General features: G+C 45.6%; 1 protein-coding gene and 1 long non-coding RNA gene across 4 annotated transcripts, besides 2 other annotated features; one reads left to right on the forward strand and one right to left on the reverse strand.

The window, feature by feature from the left end:
- SLC25A5-AS1 (SLC25A5 antisense RNA 1) lies at nucleotides 888-3,975 on the reverse strand. Of its 3 annotated transcripts, none has more exons than NR_134915.1 (2): nucleotides 2,961-3,117; nucleotides 888-2,605 (listed from the first exon to the last, which is right to left on the reverse strand). It is a non-coding gene; the product is annotated as an SLC25A5 antisense RNA 1 (long non-coding RNA). The 3 variants fall into 3 exon arrangements; NR_134914.1 differs by lacking the exon at nucleotides 2,961-3,117 and adding an exon at nucleotides 3,665-3,953 and having other exon boundaries at nucleotides 1,279-2,605; NR_028443.1 differs by having other exon boundaries at nucleotides 888-3,975.
- Nucleotides 2,979-3,358: a silencer, noted in NCBI's record as "silent region_20958". NCBI's record gives its function as "represses an Ori minimal core promoter by ATAC-STARR-seq in GM12878 lymphoblastoid cells {active_cell/tissue: GM12878}" and the evidence as "EXISTENCE:reporter gene assay evidence [ECO:0000049][PMID:35858748]".
- Nucleotides 3,299-6,251, forward strand: SLC25A5 (solute carrier family 25 member 5). The gene is made up of 4 exons (NM_001152.5): nucleotides 3,299-3,481; nucleotides 4,516-5,002; nucleotides 5,228-5,368; nucleotides 5,756-6,251. Exons 1-4 carry the CDS (start codon nucleotides 3,371-3,373, stop codon nucleotides 5,911-5,913), a joined length of 897 nt encoding a protein of 298 aa, NP_001143.2. The 5' UTR covers nucleotides 3,299-3,370; the 3' UTR covers nucleotides 5,914-6,251.
- Nucleotides 3,849-4,088: a silencer, noted in NCBI's record as "silent region_20959". NCBI's record gives its function as "represses an Ori minimal core promoter by ATAC-STARR-seq in GM12878 lymphoblastoid cells {active_cell/tissue: GM12878}" and the evidence as "EXISTENCE:reporter gene assay evidence [ECO:0000049][PMID:35858748]".

Genomic DNA, 17,382 nt, shown 5'->3' on the forward strand with positions numbered 1-17,382 from the left:
AAACAATACCTATAAAATTGCATTTTCCTGAGTGTATTAAAATTTTACATTCCCGGCCAGTCGCTGCGGCTCATGCCTGTAATCCCAGCACTTTGGGAGGCCAAAGCAGGCAGATCACCTGAGGTCAGGAGTTTGAGAGCAGCCTGGCCAACATGGTAATAACCTGTCTCTACTAAAAATACAAAAATTAGCCAGGCGTGGTGGTGGCGTGCCTGTAATCCCAGCTACTCAGGAGGCTGAGGCTGAAGAACCGCTTGAACCTAGGAGGTGGAGGTTGCAGTGAGCGGAGATCGCGCCATTGCACTCCAGCCTGGGCGACAAGAGCAAAACTCTGTCTCAAAAAAAAAAAAATTACATTCCCTTTATTACCCATATTCTGGGTGTTGGTACATAGATATCTGAGGCCTTAAAAGTGTCATTTCTGACTCTCTTCCTTGTTTTTCCTTGAGAATTACTAGGCATTGCCTTAGCTTTAGTTCCTCTTAATTAGACTTATATTTTACATAGCTTCCAGAAACACAATAATTACTAACACAGCACTATGTCTCAATGGAGGAATTAGTTTTGATTAACTGACCAGCCATATATCATTATCAACATCATCATCATCATCATCATCATCATCATTAATATTCTTCTCGGCTGGGTGCAGTGGCTCATACCTGTAATCCCAGCAATTTGGAAGGCTAAGGTGGGAGGATCACTTGAGCCTAGGAGTTTGAGGCTGCAGTGAGCTATGATCGTGCCGCTGCACTCCAGCCTGGGTGACAGAATGAGACTCTATTTTCTATTTTCCTGGATGCTTGCTCCTTGTTTCTTTTTCCTTCTTTTTTAAAAAGTTTTTAAACTTTCAGACTTTTTTAAATGTTGCAAAAATAGTACAAAAATGTCCTTATATCCTTTATTCAACTTCTCTAAATCTTACATAACCACCATAACCAAGAATAGTATTGGTAATCTACAGATATTCAAACCTCACCAATATAACCAATGTCCTTTTTCTGGTACAGGAGCCGGTTGAGTGTCATATATTACATTCAGTTGTCAAGTATCTTTAGTCTCCTTTAATCTGTGACAGTTCCTTAGTCTCTTTGTCTTTCATGATCTTAACAGTTTCGAGAATATCTGACTCCTTAAAATACACGCGGTGATAGGTGACTACGGGAGCTCCAGCTCACCGTGGATTTAGCAAAATACCAAGTGATGACAAGAAGTTGCTTTTAAATGACCCATCTTGTATTTCATCGTCAATAAAACCACACTTAGTTACCCAAAGACTGAGAAGGGAAAAATTCTATGTAATTATTTGATCATCTTTTTTTGTGGAGAGAAAAAAAACTGACAAAACAATGAGCTCTGGAATAGAATACAGTAGAGGCATCATGCTCAAAGAGAGTAGCAGATGTGGCCAGGGAAAGGTCACATGTAGAAAAGGGATACACAAGTGATGGCGAGGTGTATCGAGGAATAATTAACAGTTGAATAAAAATGCATTAATCAGAATGTCAAGAGTTCAAACTAGAAAGATTTTGAATTTTAAATGCATTATAAATAAAATCCACCTCTCTCCAAATAAAGCCCTCTGTAGAATTTTGCTTTAGCTCTTGTTTCTCTCACCAGAATAGAGAAGCGAGTATCACCTTTGGAGGATATACTCTACCATTCTCTGAAACTGTTTTTTTGCATTCAGCTACCTCGCTATTATAATCAGCTGAGAAACACCATAGCCTTTCACTAACACAGGTCAAAGATTTCTCCCAGGATCAACAAAGCTAGATTCAAAATTGCTCCTTTGAACACATGCAATTTGTGTGCATCAGTTTCGATCGCTGGGGTTCTTGAGGAGACTAACAAATTGCAAAGTGTACTTTCAGAGGAAGGGCCTAACCATCCTGGGGGGTCCTAGAATTGGGTCCTTTCACAGGCAGATCTGGAGAAGATAGGAGAGGGCAGGAAAGGAAAGTGAAGGATATGAACACTATGTGTTCAGTGTGCAAAGGCCTGCTGGCATTTTGCCTATGGGAATTCTGAAGTCTGGGCACATAAGGTTCAGCTGCAGTTGCAGTTTTCAACAGTCGTCCTTATTTTTATAAACATTGTTATGATTATTCAGACACGGAACTTGTGATTACACTATTTGCTCCTGTTCTGAACTTGAGGGAGTCCACTTAAGCTAACAAGTAGGTTTTTGAGGACATGTGTGGCAAATGCTTACCCAGTGAAGGGATTAAGGGGCTCAGTAAGCACTTGTCCATTGGCACAATGGCTGCCAATCTAATTCTATTGATTCCTCTAAATGTTTCTGGAGTTCAGAAATCTATTCAATCCAAGGGCACTTTACCTGGGGTCCTGGGAGCCAAATGTTAACGTAGTTCTTAACCTTCCTAAGCCTCTTAACCTTCTGGGTACAACCTCTATATTTGTCTTCTGGCTAAAATCATTTCCCCACCCCCAGCCCAGTCCTTTGGACTCTCCCAGGCCAATTCCTGGCAAGATCTTTGTCGAACTGTATTTGCAAACCAGGGTCTGGGGCACGGTGGCAGTTCCTTCGTCTGCTGTTCCCTTAATTTCGTCTGGTTTCACTGGCTCCAGGACAGCACACGGTCTAGAGTGGGAAGAGTGAGGCATTCACCTTGGTGAAAAACAACTCAGTAATTAAGACAAATGATTTTTCATGTACTATTTTAAAAAAATCAGAAGCAATGCAAAAATCCATGATGAACAAATGATCAACATTTGAAATACAGACAGGATCCCAACCTGCACTTGCATGACCTTGTCTCGCTTGCCTCACCCTAAACCCAGCCTTGACACTCCAATTAAACTTTATTTACAAAACAAGGGGGCCGGCCAGTAGGATGTAGTTTGCCCATACGACTTTTTTAAAGTATCGCATTGACTACTGTTTATCTCGATGACTGAAGGGTTCTTTTGGCATCCCTGTAGCAAATGCGTCTCACCCTAGTCCTGGTCCTGCTCCAAGGGTTTTTGTCCAGGCACATCGTGACCTCACCCTTCCTCCCCTCTCCGAGGCCTCTCTCAGGGTCCAGCGTTCAAGTCCCGGGTGTTCTCTGGACCCGCCCCTTCCTCTCGCCGGGTCAGGTGCCGAGGGCGAGCACGGGCGGCGCGGAGAGCAGTCCCGGCCCGCCCTCCACGACTCCTCCTCCTGCGAGCTGGGCCACTCAGCGGCTCTGCCGCCCAGCGCGCCGGGGCCCAGACCCCGCCCCGGCCCCGCCTCCGACGCCTGCCGCTCCAGCTCCGGCTCCCCCTATATAAATCGGCCATTTGCTTCGCTCCGCCCCGCAGCGCCGGAGTCAAAGCCGGTTCCCGGCCCAGTCCCGTCCTGCAGCAGTCTGCCTCCTCTTTCAACATGACAGATGCCGCTGTGTCCTTCGCCAAGGACTTCCTGGCAGGTGGAGTGGCCGCAGCCATCTCCAAGACGGCGGTAGCGCCCATCGAGCGGGTCAAGCTGCTGCTGCAGGTACGTCCTGGGATCCAGGAGCCCAACCAGGAAGTGGGGGGAAGGGTCGCACAGAAGGCGGGCGCCCGAGGGGTGGCGGGGAGCGAACTCTAAAGACATGGCCAGGGAAGCGGCTTAGGAGAGGCCAGAGCGGGGCGCAGAGGCAGAACAGAAGTCAAACTGGTGGGAGGCGCCTTTAGTGACCTGAAGTAGTGAGTCTAGGAAGGGGCCGGGGGCAGAGGGCAGGACCAGGCTCTCGGCATCTCCGAGGCGGCGGACTCGGATGGAGCAGTTTCTGAGTGACGGCCTCCCCGGGCCTGGGCGTCAAGGGCGAAGGCCGAAAGCCGGCGTTAGAAAGAGGAACGCCAGTTCTTACCGAAGACCTCAAGGTCGCGGCAAGGAGATAACTGCCCGGGGGAGGCCATGCGCCCGGGTCCAGCGGCCTCCCAGCCCGCGGACGCGCTCAAACCTCGCCGGGCCGGAAGCCGGCGCCGGGAAGCGCGTGTGCCTTTTACGTCCGCCCCCGCGCAGCCGCGGCCGCTGCCGCCGCGTCTCCGCCTGCCTCCCTGCGCCGCGCGCTCTCCAGTGCCGGCTCTAGAGGGCGCTCCTGGGCTAGCGTGTAGGGCTGGCGGCGGCGGCGCTCGGGTCACCTCTGGGAGCGGAGTGGGGGCGGAGCGAGACGGAAGCAGCTCAGGAGACTTGAGGCGTAGGCTGCGGTCCCCAAGGTGACCGCGCCCTATGTGGGACTCGCCCTAATGCCTCTGAACCTGGGTTTGAGGTAATGACCTTTCTCCTAGGTCTGAAGGTCACGGGTCCGCTGGAGGATGCCCCCTCTCCACTCAGAGGGGTGGAGGCTTAATGCTACTGGTGCAGATCACCTCTTCCCCTGTGACAGCCTCAGAGGGTTGGGAGGGTCCAGCCAGTATGATATACGAAGACTAGATTTGAGAGAGGGGAGCCTACCTTAAAGGGCATTGATCGAGATGGCATAAGCTCTTCTCTTTCCCTTCCCCATGGTTATAACTGTCCCTGTTGGCTTCCTTCCTGTCTGTTAGGTGCAGCATGCCAGCAAGCAGATCACTGCAGATAAGCAATACAAAGGCATTATAGACTGCGTGGTCCGTATTCCCAAGGAGCAGGGAGTTCTGTCCTTCTGGCGCGGTAACCTGGCCAATGTCATCAGATACTTCCCCACCCAGGCTCTTAACTTCGCCTTCAAAGATAAATACAAGCAGATCTTCCTGGGTGGTGTGGACAAGAGAACCCAGTTTTGGCTCTACTTTGCAGGGAATCTGGCATCGGGTGGTGCCGCAGGGGCCACATCCCTGTGTTTTGTGTACCCTCTTGATTTTGCCCGTACCCGTCTAGCAGCTGATGTGGGTAAAGCTGGAGCTGAAAGGGAATTCCGAGGCCTCGGTGACTGCCTGGTTAAGATCTACAAATCTGATGGGATTAAGGGCCTGTACCAAGGCTTTAACGTGTCTGTGCAGGGTATTATCATCTACCGAGCCGCCTACTTCGGTATCTATGACACTGCAAAGGGTAAGTTTGCTGTGGGCTTTAACGTTGTGTTCTTAGGAGACAGTTTAAAAGAGCATTGTACCAACCTAACAGTCCAAGAGCTAAAGAGTTGTTTTTTTAATTGCTAAAGGAAGCCAAGATCATCCAATGCAACCCTTGTGTACAGATGACGTGTTTAGGGGATGTGGGGAAAGGAAGTCAGTAAAACTCTGCTTTTTGGTAAAAGCATCTCTTTCCTATTCCCAGGAATGCTTCCGGATCCCAAGAACACTCACATCGTCATCAGCTGGATGATCGCACAGACTGTCACTGCTGTTGCCGGGTTGACTTCCTATCCATTTGACACTGTTCGCCGCCGCATGATGATGCAGTCAGGGCGCAAAGGAAGTAAGTTCCACTTGAGCAGAAGATAAAGTTGTAGTCGTGGGGCAATCTGCTGCCACAAACTGGTGATACATACCTTTAAAATGGCTGTCTGTCCAAGTCAAGGGATGGGGTTGATAGCATCTGTGTCTGTTCCACAACTGCCTTTGAGCTGGCCCTTCAGATGCCTATGAATGAGGGTGCTTAAATGGTGTTAGAGGTTAAGACCAATGGGTAGTCTGTATTCCTGTGGTCATAGCATTAATATTTCAGTGTTGCCCATGCTAATGTGTGAATGTTGGATTTAAAGCTGACGTTCTTAGAGGTGGGGCTCTGCTTTATTTAGCCTAGTGAATCTTAGGATTTTTCATCGGCCTTCAGTCACTAACTCCATGTCTTTATTCTTTGCAGCTGACATCATGTACACAGGCACGCTTGACTGCTGGCGGAAGATTGCTCGTGATGAAGGAGGCAAAGCTTTTTTCAAGGGTGCATGGTCCAATGTTCTCAGAGGCATGGGTGGTGCTTTTGTGCTTGTCTTGTATGATGAAATCAAGAAGTACACATAAGTTATTTCCTAGGATTTTTCCCCCTGTGAACAGGCATGTTGTATTATATAACATATCTTGAGCATTCTTGACAGACTCCTGGCTGTCAGTTTCTCAGTGGCAACTATTTACTGGTTGAAAATGGGAAGCAATAATATTCATCTGACCAGTTTTCTCTTAAAGCCATTTCCATGATGATGATGATGGGACTCAATTGTATTTTTTATTTCAGTCACTCCTGATAAATAACAAATTTGGAGAAATAAAAATATCTAAAATAAATTTTGTCTGCAGTATATTTTCATATAAAAATGCATATTTGAGTGCTACATTCGAATAAATACTACCTTTTTAGTGAATGCTACATTTTTAATAAATGCTACAGTATCTCCGGAGATGAAGAACTGTCTTTTTAAAACCAATTGTCAGCAGTCCGCTTAACAGAATAACTTGGTTGTGCCACCCACAAACATTTCCAACACATTAGCAAAGGAATTCAGGCCCAGTGCATCCAAAAAACATTGTTCCATTGCCTATGGATGATCATAGCTGAATGAGCTTTCTCCAAGAAATACTGTGAACCCACCTTCTCTAGTCCTATGGTTATTAATCATGAGCCATGAGCTGAATTATCCACTTTAAAATGGTTACGTTTGTTGCATGAATATCACCTCATTTAAACTTTTAGAATCAATACCAATTTCATCCAGTTGCCTTCATTTTCACCTGGCTCAAGCCATTTTTTTTTTTTTTTTTTTTTTTTTTTTGAGACAAGAGTCTTGCTCTGTTGCCAGGCTGGAGTGCAATGGTGCAATCTTGGCTCACTGCAGCCTCCGCCTCCTGGGTTCAAGCGATTCTCCTGCTTCAGCCTCCCAAGTAGCTGGGACTACAGGTGTGTACCACCAAGCCTGGCTAATTTTTGTATTTTTAGTAGAGACAGTTTCACCATGTTGGCCAGGATGGTCTAGATCTCTTGACCTCATGATCCACCCACCTCGGCCTCCCAAAGTGCTAGGATTATAGGCGTGAGCCACTGTGCCTGGCCAGCTAGAGCAATTTTTTAAAATTTATTTATTTATTATCTATCTTTTGAGATGGAGTTTCTCTTTTTTTTTTTTTTTTTTTTTTTGAGACAGAGTCTTGCTCTGTTGCCCAGGCTGGAGTGCAGTGGCACGATCTCGGCTCACTGCAACCTCCGCCTCCCAGGTTCACGCCATTCTCCTGCCTCAGCCTCCCGAGTAGCTGGGACTACGGGTGCCCGCCACCACGCCCGGCTAATATTTTTTGTATTTTTAGTAGAGACGGGGTTTCACCGTGTTAGCCAGGATGATCTTGATCTGACGTTGTGATCTGCCTGCCTTGGCCTCCCAAAGTGCTGGGATTACAGGCGTGAGCCACCGTGCCTGGCCGAGATGGAGTTTCTCTCTTTCGCCCAGGCTGGAGTGCAATGACACAATCTTGGCTCACTGCAACCTCCCCCTTCCAGTTTCAAGCGATTCTGCCTCAGCCTTTTGAGTAACTGGGATTACAGGCGCCTCTCACCATGCCGGGCTAATTTTTGTATTTTTAGTAGAGACGGGGTTTCACCATGTTGGCCAGGCTGGTCTCGAACTCCTAACCTCATGATCTGCCCATTTCGGCCTCCCAAAGTACTGAGATTACAGATGTGAGTCACCACGCCTGGCCTCAAGCCATTTTTAATTCCATTCAGAGTAGAGGATTAGAGCTGGCACAGTTACATAGTGCTGAGATTGCAGTGCTGTTAAAGATTATGAAGAGGGCCAGACATTGGCCACGACCTCAAAACTAACCTTACAAAGAGGAAATAGCATCTGCCTTTTGCTTCATGCTAATAAGCCCAGTCAATGGAGGGCATTTATGTTTATTTTCAATAAACCCTTATTTGGAATCCATGTGACAGTGTTTGGACTTTCTGTATCTCTTGATTAGGGCTCAAATCCAGTGGATTTTGCCATGAGATTTGTACTAAGAATGCAGCATTATGTCTGTCAAGCCACAACTTTAAAAATGATAGAACGGGTGCTCCATGTGTACATGTAAAGCTCATTCTTGAGGAATATCCCACACACTGGCATGTATAAGAGCTATTCACAGAGAGGTCTGCATGGCATGGATGAATGCCCAAGGATCCCAGAGTTTATGTTTGTCCTCTGGCCAGGCACCTGAATCGTAGTATAGCTTAGTTATTAAGAATTCTGTTCTGGTATCAAAGAGGCCTGGGCTGAAGTTCTGGACTCTGATGTTCAGTTGTGTTAGGCCAAGTTACTTAATTTTTCTAAACCTTGGTTTTCCTTATCTGTAAAATGAGGCTATTAATAATGCCTGCCTCAGAGGGTTGTTGCAAAGATTAAATAATTTATGCCAAGCATCTACCATAGAACATAATAAGCATTACATAAATGGTGACTGACAGTTCTTAGGAGGCAGATTTCAGGGGCTCTAGAATCAATCAGACATACCTGGATTTTAATCCTGGCTCTGCTGATTACTGTGTGACTTTGGGCAAGTCACTTAATCCCCGGGAGCCTCAGTTTCCTCGTCTGTGAAGTGGGGATATAATAGCGCTTATATATTTCTTTCCTTCCTTTTTTTTTTTTTTTTTTTTTTGACACGGAGTCTCACTCTGTCGCCCATTCAGAGTAGAGGATTAGAGCTGGTACAGTTACATAGTGCTGAGATTGCAGTGCTGTTAAAGACTATGAAATCTTTAACAGCTGGAATGCAGTGGTGCGAGCTCGGCTCACTGCAACCTCCGCCTCCCAGGTTCAAGCAATTCTCCTGCCTCAGCCTCCCAAGTAGCTGGGATTACAGGCATGCACCACCATACCTGGTTAATTTTTGTATTTTTAGTAGAGATGGGTTTTCGTCATGTTAGCCAGGCTGGTCTCAAACTCCTGACCTCAGGTGATCTGCCTGCCTTGGCCTCCCAAAGTGCTGGGATTACAGGCGTGAGCCACCTCTCCTGGACTGCTCATATATTTCTTAGGGGTGTTGTGAGTGAGGGTTAAGCATAAGAAAGCATGTAGAGCCAGAAGTATGGTGCCTGGCATTTAGCAAGCACTCCGATGTGAACTTTCACATAATACGGCACCCAGGTTTGTTGAGTGAAGATTTGCCCAAGTACAGCACTGCTTAAGAATGAATTCAAGCTCACCTTTCTTTTTCTGCAACAGACTAGATATACTATATTGTGTAGCATTTATACAAAATAAACTTCAGGTTAGTTCTTTTTCAGTTGTAGATTTTATTCTTGAAAGGGGATAAGAGGCTCTCCAGTAAGGGCTGCATACACGATGCAAGAGGAGCCAAGCCCCCTTTATGGTTATTACAATAGATGTGGACTCACTGAGCTGGCAGCTATTAAAATAAACCTAGGACCAGGCATTAATGATCAGAAAGCAAGAAGTGGTGCCTCCTGCAATTGGGTAGCTGACATAGATGAGGTGGGGGTTTTTTTTGTTGTTGTTCTTTCTATTCTTGTTCAATGATTTTTGAAATTTAATTTAAAGACAAAGTGGTTTTAATCTCTCCAAGCTGTGCAGGATAGTGCTATAGAATTCATTATGTCCATTACGCTCATGCGAACGTTGATGGTACACAATCTTAGCAACACCCTAATTTATGCCGTTGTTTTGTTACTATTCAATACATAACAGGATCCGTGAAGCCTGATTCCAGGTGAGAGAGCCAGAACACAGGTCAGCTTGTGCACAGCCGTGCTTCCTATTCCAAGGGCCCTCTGCACTCAGTGACTGGAAGCAGCGCGCTACGGGCGCTCCGGACCGCCGGAGAAAGAAACGAGGGGTGTCTTCCCAGAGCGGCAGTTTTCGTGAATGGTAAGTCATTTAAACCGTCATTTTTTTGTATCAAAAGAGATGCAGAGATGCTAGAGAGTCTATTAATTTGAAGGCATTTTAAAAACATAAACTGCAAAGAGAGTTTTGGTATACAAGGGCCATTTCTGGCACTGCCCCCAGACTCCAATTCAGTCTCCTCTATCATTACAGATACTTTGGGAGAAAAAATTTTTAAAGTACTGCTGTACTGTATCATAGATTTTCAAGCATCCGTGTTACTGGGGTAAATTCTATTTCTCCTTTGAAGTTTGTGAACGTAGTATTTCTAATTTGCTTTTGAGGTTTTTAATAGTTAACATCTGTACATGGTAATAAAAGCCAAATAGTAAAGAAAATATGTAAAACGAAAAGTAAACATCTTCCTGTCCTGCGTTTCTCATCACTAGCCCCCTCCTCAAAAGTCACCGTTATTAGCAATTTCTTGGCTATCCATTCCCCCAAAATTAATGCATATTGCTGTAACGGCTGCTGATTTGTTTTATCGGAATCGTATTCTGACCACCTGGATTCAAAATGGCATGATTCTTTTAGAACCGAGTCATACTGTGGAGTACCAGGACTAACAGAAGCTGTCGGAGGCAGGAGGGCAGGGAAAGGGTAGCTTCCGGACTCTGAGCAAGGATTTCTAAGTGTGGCCATTTATTAAAATCCTAACCTGGGATTTTTTTTTTTTTTTTTTTTTTTTTTTTTTTTTGCGGGGGTTGGGGGGTTAGTTTTGGTTGCTGAGTGACCTGGAGACAAGTCACTTCTAACATCAGGGTCTTAGTTTCTTATCCTTGAATGGAGAAATTTGGGGAAGAGACAAACTCTAAAGTCCCTTCTAGTTTAGACGTCCTCCAGCTCCATCATTTTTGCAGAAAGCAGAACCAGTGAAAGGACCAGGATTAGGTGATTTAATCCTTTCAGAGAACATTTTAAAATATCTAACACAATCGTAAATGAATAGTCTCTGACTCAGAGCAGTCATTTACAGACTGTGTGGGTGGTTTGCCATTGGCAAGTAAAATTACGAATGTAAAGATTTACATTAATTTCAGGACCAAGAAGCTGAGCAACAAATTACAGCTCGGTGTTTGGGTCAGAGGTGCTCTGATTTACCTCAAAATAATTAACATCTGTCTTCTCAAAGCCTCATCTTATTATGTGTAATGTGCACTTCCGTATGCAGGTTGAGATTTATTTGAACAACAAATATTAGGCGCTGCAATTTCGGACACAAAAATGCCTTGTGTTCCACTCCAAATGTTTGGAGGAGCTTTCCTATCATTTCAGCCATTATTTGCTTTATGTGCAGGTGAACAAGGTCAGATGCATGGTGCTCTTCTTAGCCAAAGGCTTAAGAGAGCCTTTGGTATCCCGGCAACAAATATAAACAGTATTCAAGCGACAGATTGGGCAGTTGCTTTCACTAGACCCTCATCAGAGACAAAACTGAGTTAAATTAAAGGAGTCTATTAATCCTTGGCTTTTCCGTGACTATCAGGGAAGGGGACAGAGAAACGAGGGGGTTATTTTTATGGCGAGCATCCATCCTGGGATTTCATTTCCTTGGGCAACTTTCGTAACATGGGGAGGCAATTTAGCACTGTTGAGATTTTAGAGAACATGCCGAATCTGATCACATGACATGTTACACTGTCTCTAATGTTTTCAGTCCCAGAATAGAGATGGTTATGGTTGCAAGGACATAACCAGAATAAAGTATCAGTTAAATAGCTGTTGACTGGTAACTTCCGAGGGCCTCGTGTTTGGGAATGAAAAGGAAAACTCTTCTGTCTAAATGAACTCCAATACCCAGTTTGGCAAGAAGCAGAGATATCTTATGGGCAGAGGCAAAGGCAGATGTACTGTGGAGCTAGGGGTGCTTCCCCTTTGGAGCCACCCCTTGCATGGGCCCCTCCCAAGCCCTAACCATATATTCATTTGGTCATATGGTTTGGCAACATTTTCAAAAGACATATTTTGTGTTTTTAAAAAGAGGGAGCCAAATCATATAAGCTGACACTTCCACAAAACTCAGATCCATTCCTGCCCGTGGAACTGGAGTGGATGAAGGAATTTGGAGGCAGCCCTGTACATCAGGGAGAGGTCTGGGGCTTCCTCACCACCTGACCTTCCTCGGAGCACACCGCTCAGGACTCACTCATGAGAAGCTTTGAGGCTAGAGGTCTCATTTTCAAATACCAAACTTTCTTACTTGACAACAATTCAACTTTTACTTAACTGTTTTGTGCCTTAGTTTCCCCATGTGGAATATGGGGATAACTTTAGTACCTACCTCATAGGAATAGTGTGAAGATTAAAGGAGTTAATATATGTAAAGTGCTTAGAACAATGCTGGGCACCTGCTTTACACAATTTTGCTCTTATTATGACTGTTATTGCTTTGTTTTTGTTTTTGAGATAGAGTCTTGCTCTGTCACCCAGGCTGGAGTTCAGTGGTGCGAACTTGGCTCACTGCAACCTCCACCCCCCAGGTTCAAGCGATTCTCCTGCCTTAGTCTCCCGAGTAGCTGGGACAAGAGGTGCAAGCCACCACACCTGGCTAATTTTTGTATTTTTAGTAGAGATGGGGTTTCACCATGTTGGCCAGGTTGGTCTCGAACTCCTGGCCTCAAGTGATCCAACCGCCTCAGCCTCCCAAAGTGCTGGGATTACAGGCAGGAGCCACTGCATCTGGCCCGACTGTTATTGTTTTATTGAAATGCTTTAAATTATTTTCACTTCATTCATGGGAGAATGGTTTAATGGATTTATCCTTTTCCTGCAGATTTTCTAAAACAGTCTCAAGAAAATGCTATATATACTATAGAAAGTGGATCACACACACACACACAGAGAGAGAGAGAGAAGGTTGTAAAGAAAGAAAAGGACATTTTTGGAATGGACTGAATGAATAGAAACATGTGCTTATGGTGATAATCCTGAGCTCTAACTCAGAGCACTTATTTTACAACACTGATTATGAAAGAGACCAAAGGTCAAAGATAAATCCGTCCTGCCTCACAACCAGACTGCACTGCTCACCTGACCCAGGGGCCACTGTGTGGTCACCAGGATTCTTCTCACAGCTTCCTTTGCTCTCGTAGTATTTCAAGGAACCCATGAGGTCCCAGCCTGATTACCCAACCCTATGACTTCACTCCCTAGGGAAAGAAGCTGCAGGGAGGAGAAAATTTACTGAGACCTTTAGAAGCAAAGGATCTCCTTTCACTTTCACAACTAAGTCCAGGGTTCAGGAGTCCATTTATTACAAAAATTGAGCTTCATAATGGCTTTATCCCAGAAGTGAAGATCAGGGGGTAAGGACGCTTGGGCTTCTGGGTAAAAGCGTGCTGTTTGCCAATTAGGGTAGAAAGCTAGGAGTTTGACCACTGAAATTGTAATCCCACTTCGGCTCCATGTTTCTTTGTCTTGGGTCATATCACATCCCGTCACTAGTTAGTGGCTCAGTTTGTCTACCAGGAAACCTGGAAATCAACTTTCCTTTTTAAGCTACAATATAATTCCTCAAATCTACTGTGGGCTGTGGTTCTTTTTGGAGTTTCTAGGGCTAGATAGATTGAATTAAGTTAAGCCTGCGTCTTCAGGTTAAACAATCGATACAACCAGGTAACAGTAATTTCTCTAAAACTACAGAATCAAGATCATAGCTCATTATTTTGACATCTTATATGCCAGATGTTGTGCTAAGCACTTTACATGGATTAACTGTCCCTATTGTCTCAACAGCCCTAAGAGGCAGGTATTATTATTCACTCCATTTCACAGCTATGAAACCGAAGCTTAGAGAGATGAGATAATGTCCTCTGAGCTATCTGACTCGGCAAAAGGTTTCAAAGAGAACTTCAAGGTGACCCTGTCCAACTATTTATTTTGGGTCATGAACTATATTAAAATATGAAAGCCGGCTAGTTTCAATACCAACTGACAAAATCCATTTGACAAATATTAAATAGAAATTATAATAACCTCAGTTGGATAAAAAAAGAGATAACAAAAGAAAAAATAAATTATAATAACCAAAGCACTGTTTGTAAAGTCCATTTTTAGAGTATGGGTTATTTTCTATTTTCAGCCAATTTAAGAATTATGGTCATTAAAAACTACTTGACCCTAAAGCTCTAGAGTTAAATTTGAATTTATTCACATTTCTTTGGCTTTTCCAAGACAGATCTTCCTTTTAAATGACGGCTCTTCACAAGGAATACTGAGCCTCTCTCTAAGGTTACAAGCCTGAGGCTGGGGTCATTAGGACTTTGCGTAAGGCCCATACCAACTAACAACCACAGGAGGAGTTGGTGTTGGCCGCACCCTTACCTCTAACCAGGGTTGGCTCTCAGAAAAATGCAGTGAGGCTGGGCACAGTGGCTCACGCCTGTAATCCCAGCACTTTGGGAAGCCTAGGCGGGCAGATCACCTGAGGTCAGGAGTTCGAGACCAGCCTGGCCAACGTGGTGAAACCCCGTCTTTGCTAAAAATACAAAAATTAGCTGAGTGTGGTAGCGGGCACCCGTAATCCCAGCTACTCAGGAGGCTGAGGCAGGAGAATCGCTTGAACCCGGGAGGCGGAGGCTGCAGTGAGCTGAGATCGCACCATTGCACTTCAGCCTGGGTGACAGAGTGAAACTCAGTCTCAAAAAAACTTTGGGAGGCCGAGGCAGGCAGATCACGAGGTCAGGAGATCGAGACCATCCTGGCTAACGTGGTGAAACCCCATCTCTACTAAAAATACAAAAAATTAGCCGGGCATGGTGGCAGGTGCCTGTAGTCCCAGTTACTTGGGAGGCTGAGGCAGGAGAATGGCGTGAACCCAGGAGGCGGAGCTTGCAGCGAGCTAAGATTGCGCCACTGCACTCCAGCCTGGGCGACAGAGCGAGACTCCGTCTCGAGAAAAAAAAAGAACAAAAGAAAAAGAAAAATGCAATGAGTTGGGCTTTGGGCTATTTTATCTGATTGCACCTTATATTGAGAGACAGTACTGTGCGCCTCATGTTCTGTTCCTCCTCCTGCACGTGATCTGCAGTTCCACTTGCCATTTCCTACCTATGTCATTCACTTTCATATTTCCAAGCTTGGCTGTACTATTGTTTTTCCCAGCATGCCCTTACCTGCCCCTCTGCCAGGGCATGATCCTTCAAGACCCAGCTCAGATTGCACCACCTCTGGGAGCCTTCCCAGACTCCACCTGCCCATACTCATTGCTCTCTCCTCTGTACTTCTAAAGTAATCTATCTCTGTCAGCTTCACAAAGGCAGATATTTTGTCTGTTTCATTCATGTGTCCCCAGTGTCTAGAACAGTGCCTGGCACATAGTAGATGTTCAAGAAATAGTTGTTAAGTGAATGAATTATAATGTTTATTTCATGGTATCACAACCAAGTATTTATTTGTCTGTCCTCATTAAGGGCTATGTCTCGTTTCTCTTTACATTCCTAAAACTGAGCATAGAACCTAACACATAGTGAATGTGTGGTAAATGTTTGCTGAAGGAGGAGATAAATGAGAAAATGGGCCAAGTGCAGTGGCTCACACCTGTCATCCCACCACTTTGGGAGGCCGAGGCGGGTGGGTCATTTGAGGTCAGGAGTTTGAGACTAGCTTGGCCAACATGGTGAAACACCGTAACTACTAAAAATACAAAAAATTAGCTGGGTGTGGTGGCACATGCCTGTAGTCCCAGCTACTCAGGAGGCTGAGGCCGGAGAATCGCTTGAGCCCGGGAGGTGGAAGTTGCAGTGAGCTGAGATCGCACCACTGCACTCCAGCCAGGGCGACAGAGACTCTATCTCTAAATAAATAAATAAATAAATAAATAAATAAATAAATAAATAAATAAAATAGCCAGGCACAGTGGCTCATGCCTATAATCCCAGCACTTTGGGAGGCCGAGGCAGTCGAATCACTTGAGATTGGGAGTTTGAGACCAGCCTGGCCAACATAGTGAAACCCAATCTCTACTAAAAATACAAAAATTAGCTAGGTGTGGTGGCGGGCACTGTAGTCCCAGCTACTCGGGAGGCTGAGGCAGGAGAATGGCTTGAACCCGGGAGGTGTAGGTTGCAGTGAGCCGAGATCGAGCCATTGCACTCCAGCCTGGGTGACAGAGAGAGACCCTGTCTCAAAAATAAATAAATAAATATCTGTATAACGAAATAAATAGAGAATGAATGAATGGCATGTTGTAGGGTTTGTGCATTGGTTATTGATTGGCATGAATGAATTTTGGCTCGATCCAGCCACTTGATACCTGGGAACAATTCTGTAGCAATAAATGTACAGGGCCTTTCTTTTTCATTTTCTTACATAATAATTCAGCAAATGTCCGGGGCCTTTTGACTTGCAGCTATTGTTTTTCCAGACCCTGGGCTTACAGGGAAGATCTGGATATTGCAGGGGTTGGGAAATCAACTGGTTCCTGTACTGCTGCTATGTTGTCCATGCTAGAGAACCAGAGAGGCGGGACCTTGGCACACACCCCTCCCCTCCTGAAATCTGTGTGAAAAACAGCTGACTCCACATCCAGGGCTTCTACCATACTGTGTTCATGGGATGCTGGCCTGTGCCACACATGTGCTGGCCATCTTGTCATGAGCCCCTAACACAGAGCCCTCCACATAGTAATTGCCTGATGGATGTCTGGTTGTGATGATGACAATATTGAACAGTGGCTGTCACACAACATGACTCAGGCCACTCCAAGGGGAGAGGAACAGACATGTTCCTGGGGCACCTGAGGACGCTGCCGATAGAGCTGTGCCAACTGCACGCCCATGTGACTGATTAGGGCTGATTAGGCCAGACCTGCTCCCAGACCTGGGCCTAATGTTCCCAGCTTCTAAGACTATTTCAGCCACTAAAAGCCCATGAGAACCCTTGAGTGAATGTGGCCCTTTTTGACGTGCTCAGGAAGCAGGCAGAGTTTGTTCTCTCTCACTTGTGAGTGGGAGGCCTCCAGGAGTGCAGCAGCGGACTTGCTCAGTAGTAACATCCATTGTCATTTCTTGAGCTTTGACTATGGGCCAGGCACTCTTTTAATTGTGGATACTCATTTAATCCTTTCAGTGGCCTTATGATGCAGGTGCTAAGATTACCATTTCCCAGATGAGGAAACCGAGGCACCTGGCAAACCACGTGTAACACCTGCAGATGAAAACCCTGAAAACAAAGGGAACCCCCCCCCAACTTAGAGAGAGTCAGAAAGTAGCACTTAATGCTGCGGTGCCTGGAAAATAACCACGGAGGCCCAGAGGAAGGGAGGGGTTCAAGCTCTTTAGGGACCATCGGCCTGCTTGGGGACCTACCCATGTGAGGAGCCCCTGGAGAGGCGCTTGGTGCAGTGGTTAAGAGCATGGTTCCGCCCCTTTCCAGCTGTGAAATGGTGAGCAAGATTCTAAGTCTCACTGCCTCACCTTGCTCAGCCGGAAAATGGGGTCAAGAACACTACTTGCCTGGCACTGTAGTGAGGATGAAATAAATTAATATTTGCGAGGCGCTTGGCACAAAGCCTAGCATATAATATGCGCTTAAGTGTTTGTTAAATAACTACGGGCTCTCTCAGAGTCGGCCCCTTCCCTTTAGGCGCCGGTTTTGTAATCTGGGAAACTTTGTA

Source organism: Homo sapiens, chromosome X (assembly GCF_000001405.40).
Source record: "Homo sapiens chromosome X, GRCh38.p14 Primary Assembly".
NCBI classification, from domain to species: domain Eukaryota; kingdom Metazoa; phylum Chordata; class Mammalia; order Primates; family Hominidae; genus Homo; species Homo sapiens.

Bases quoted from the DNA above. Each gene is read 5' to 3' on its own strand.
- SLC25A5 (NM_001152.5), top strand. From the start codon at position 3,371: ATGACAGATGCCGCTGTGTCCTTCGCCAAGGACTTCCTGGCAGGTGGA. The intron at 5,003-5,227 runs GTAAGTTTGCTG...TCCTATTCCCAG, and splicing joins TATCTATGACACTGCAAAGG to GAATGCTTCCGGATCCCAAG. The intron at 5,369-5,755 runs GTAAGTTCCACT...TATTCTTTGCAG, and splicing joins GCAGTCAGGGCGCAAAGGAA to CTGACATCATGTACACAGGC.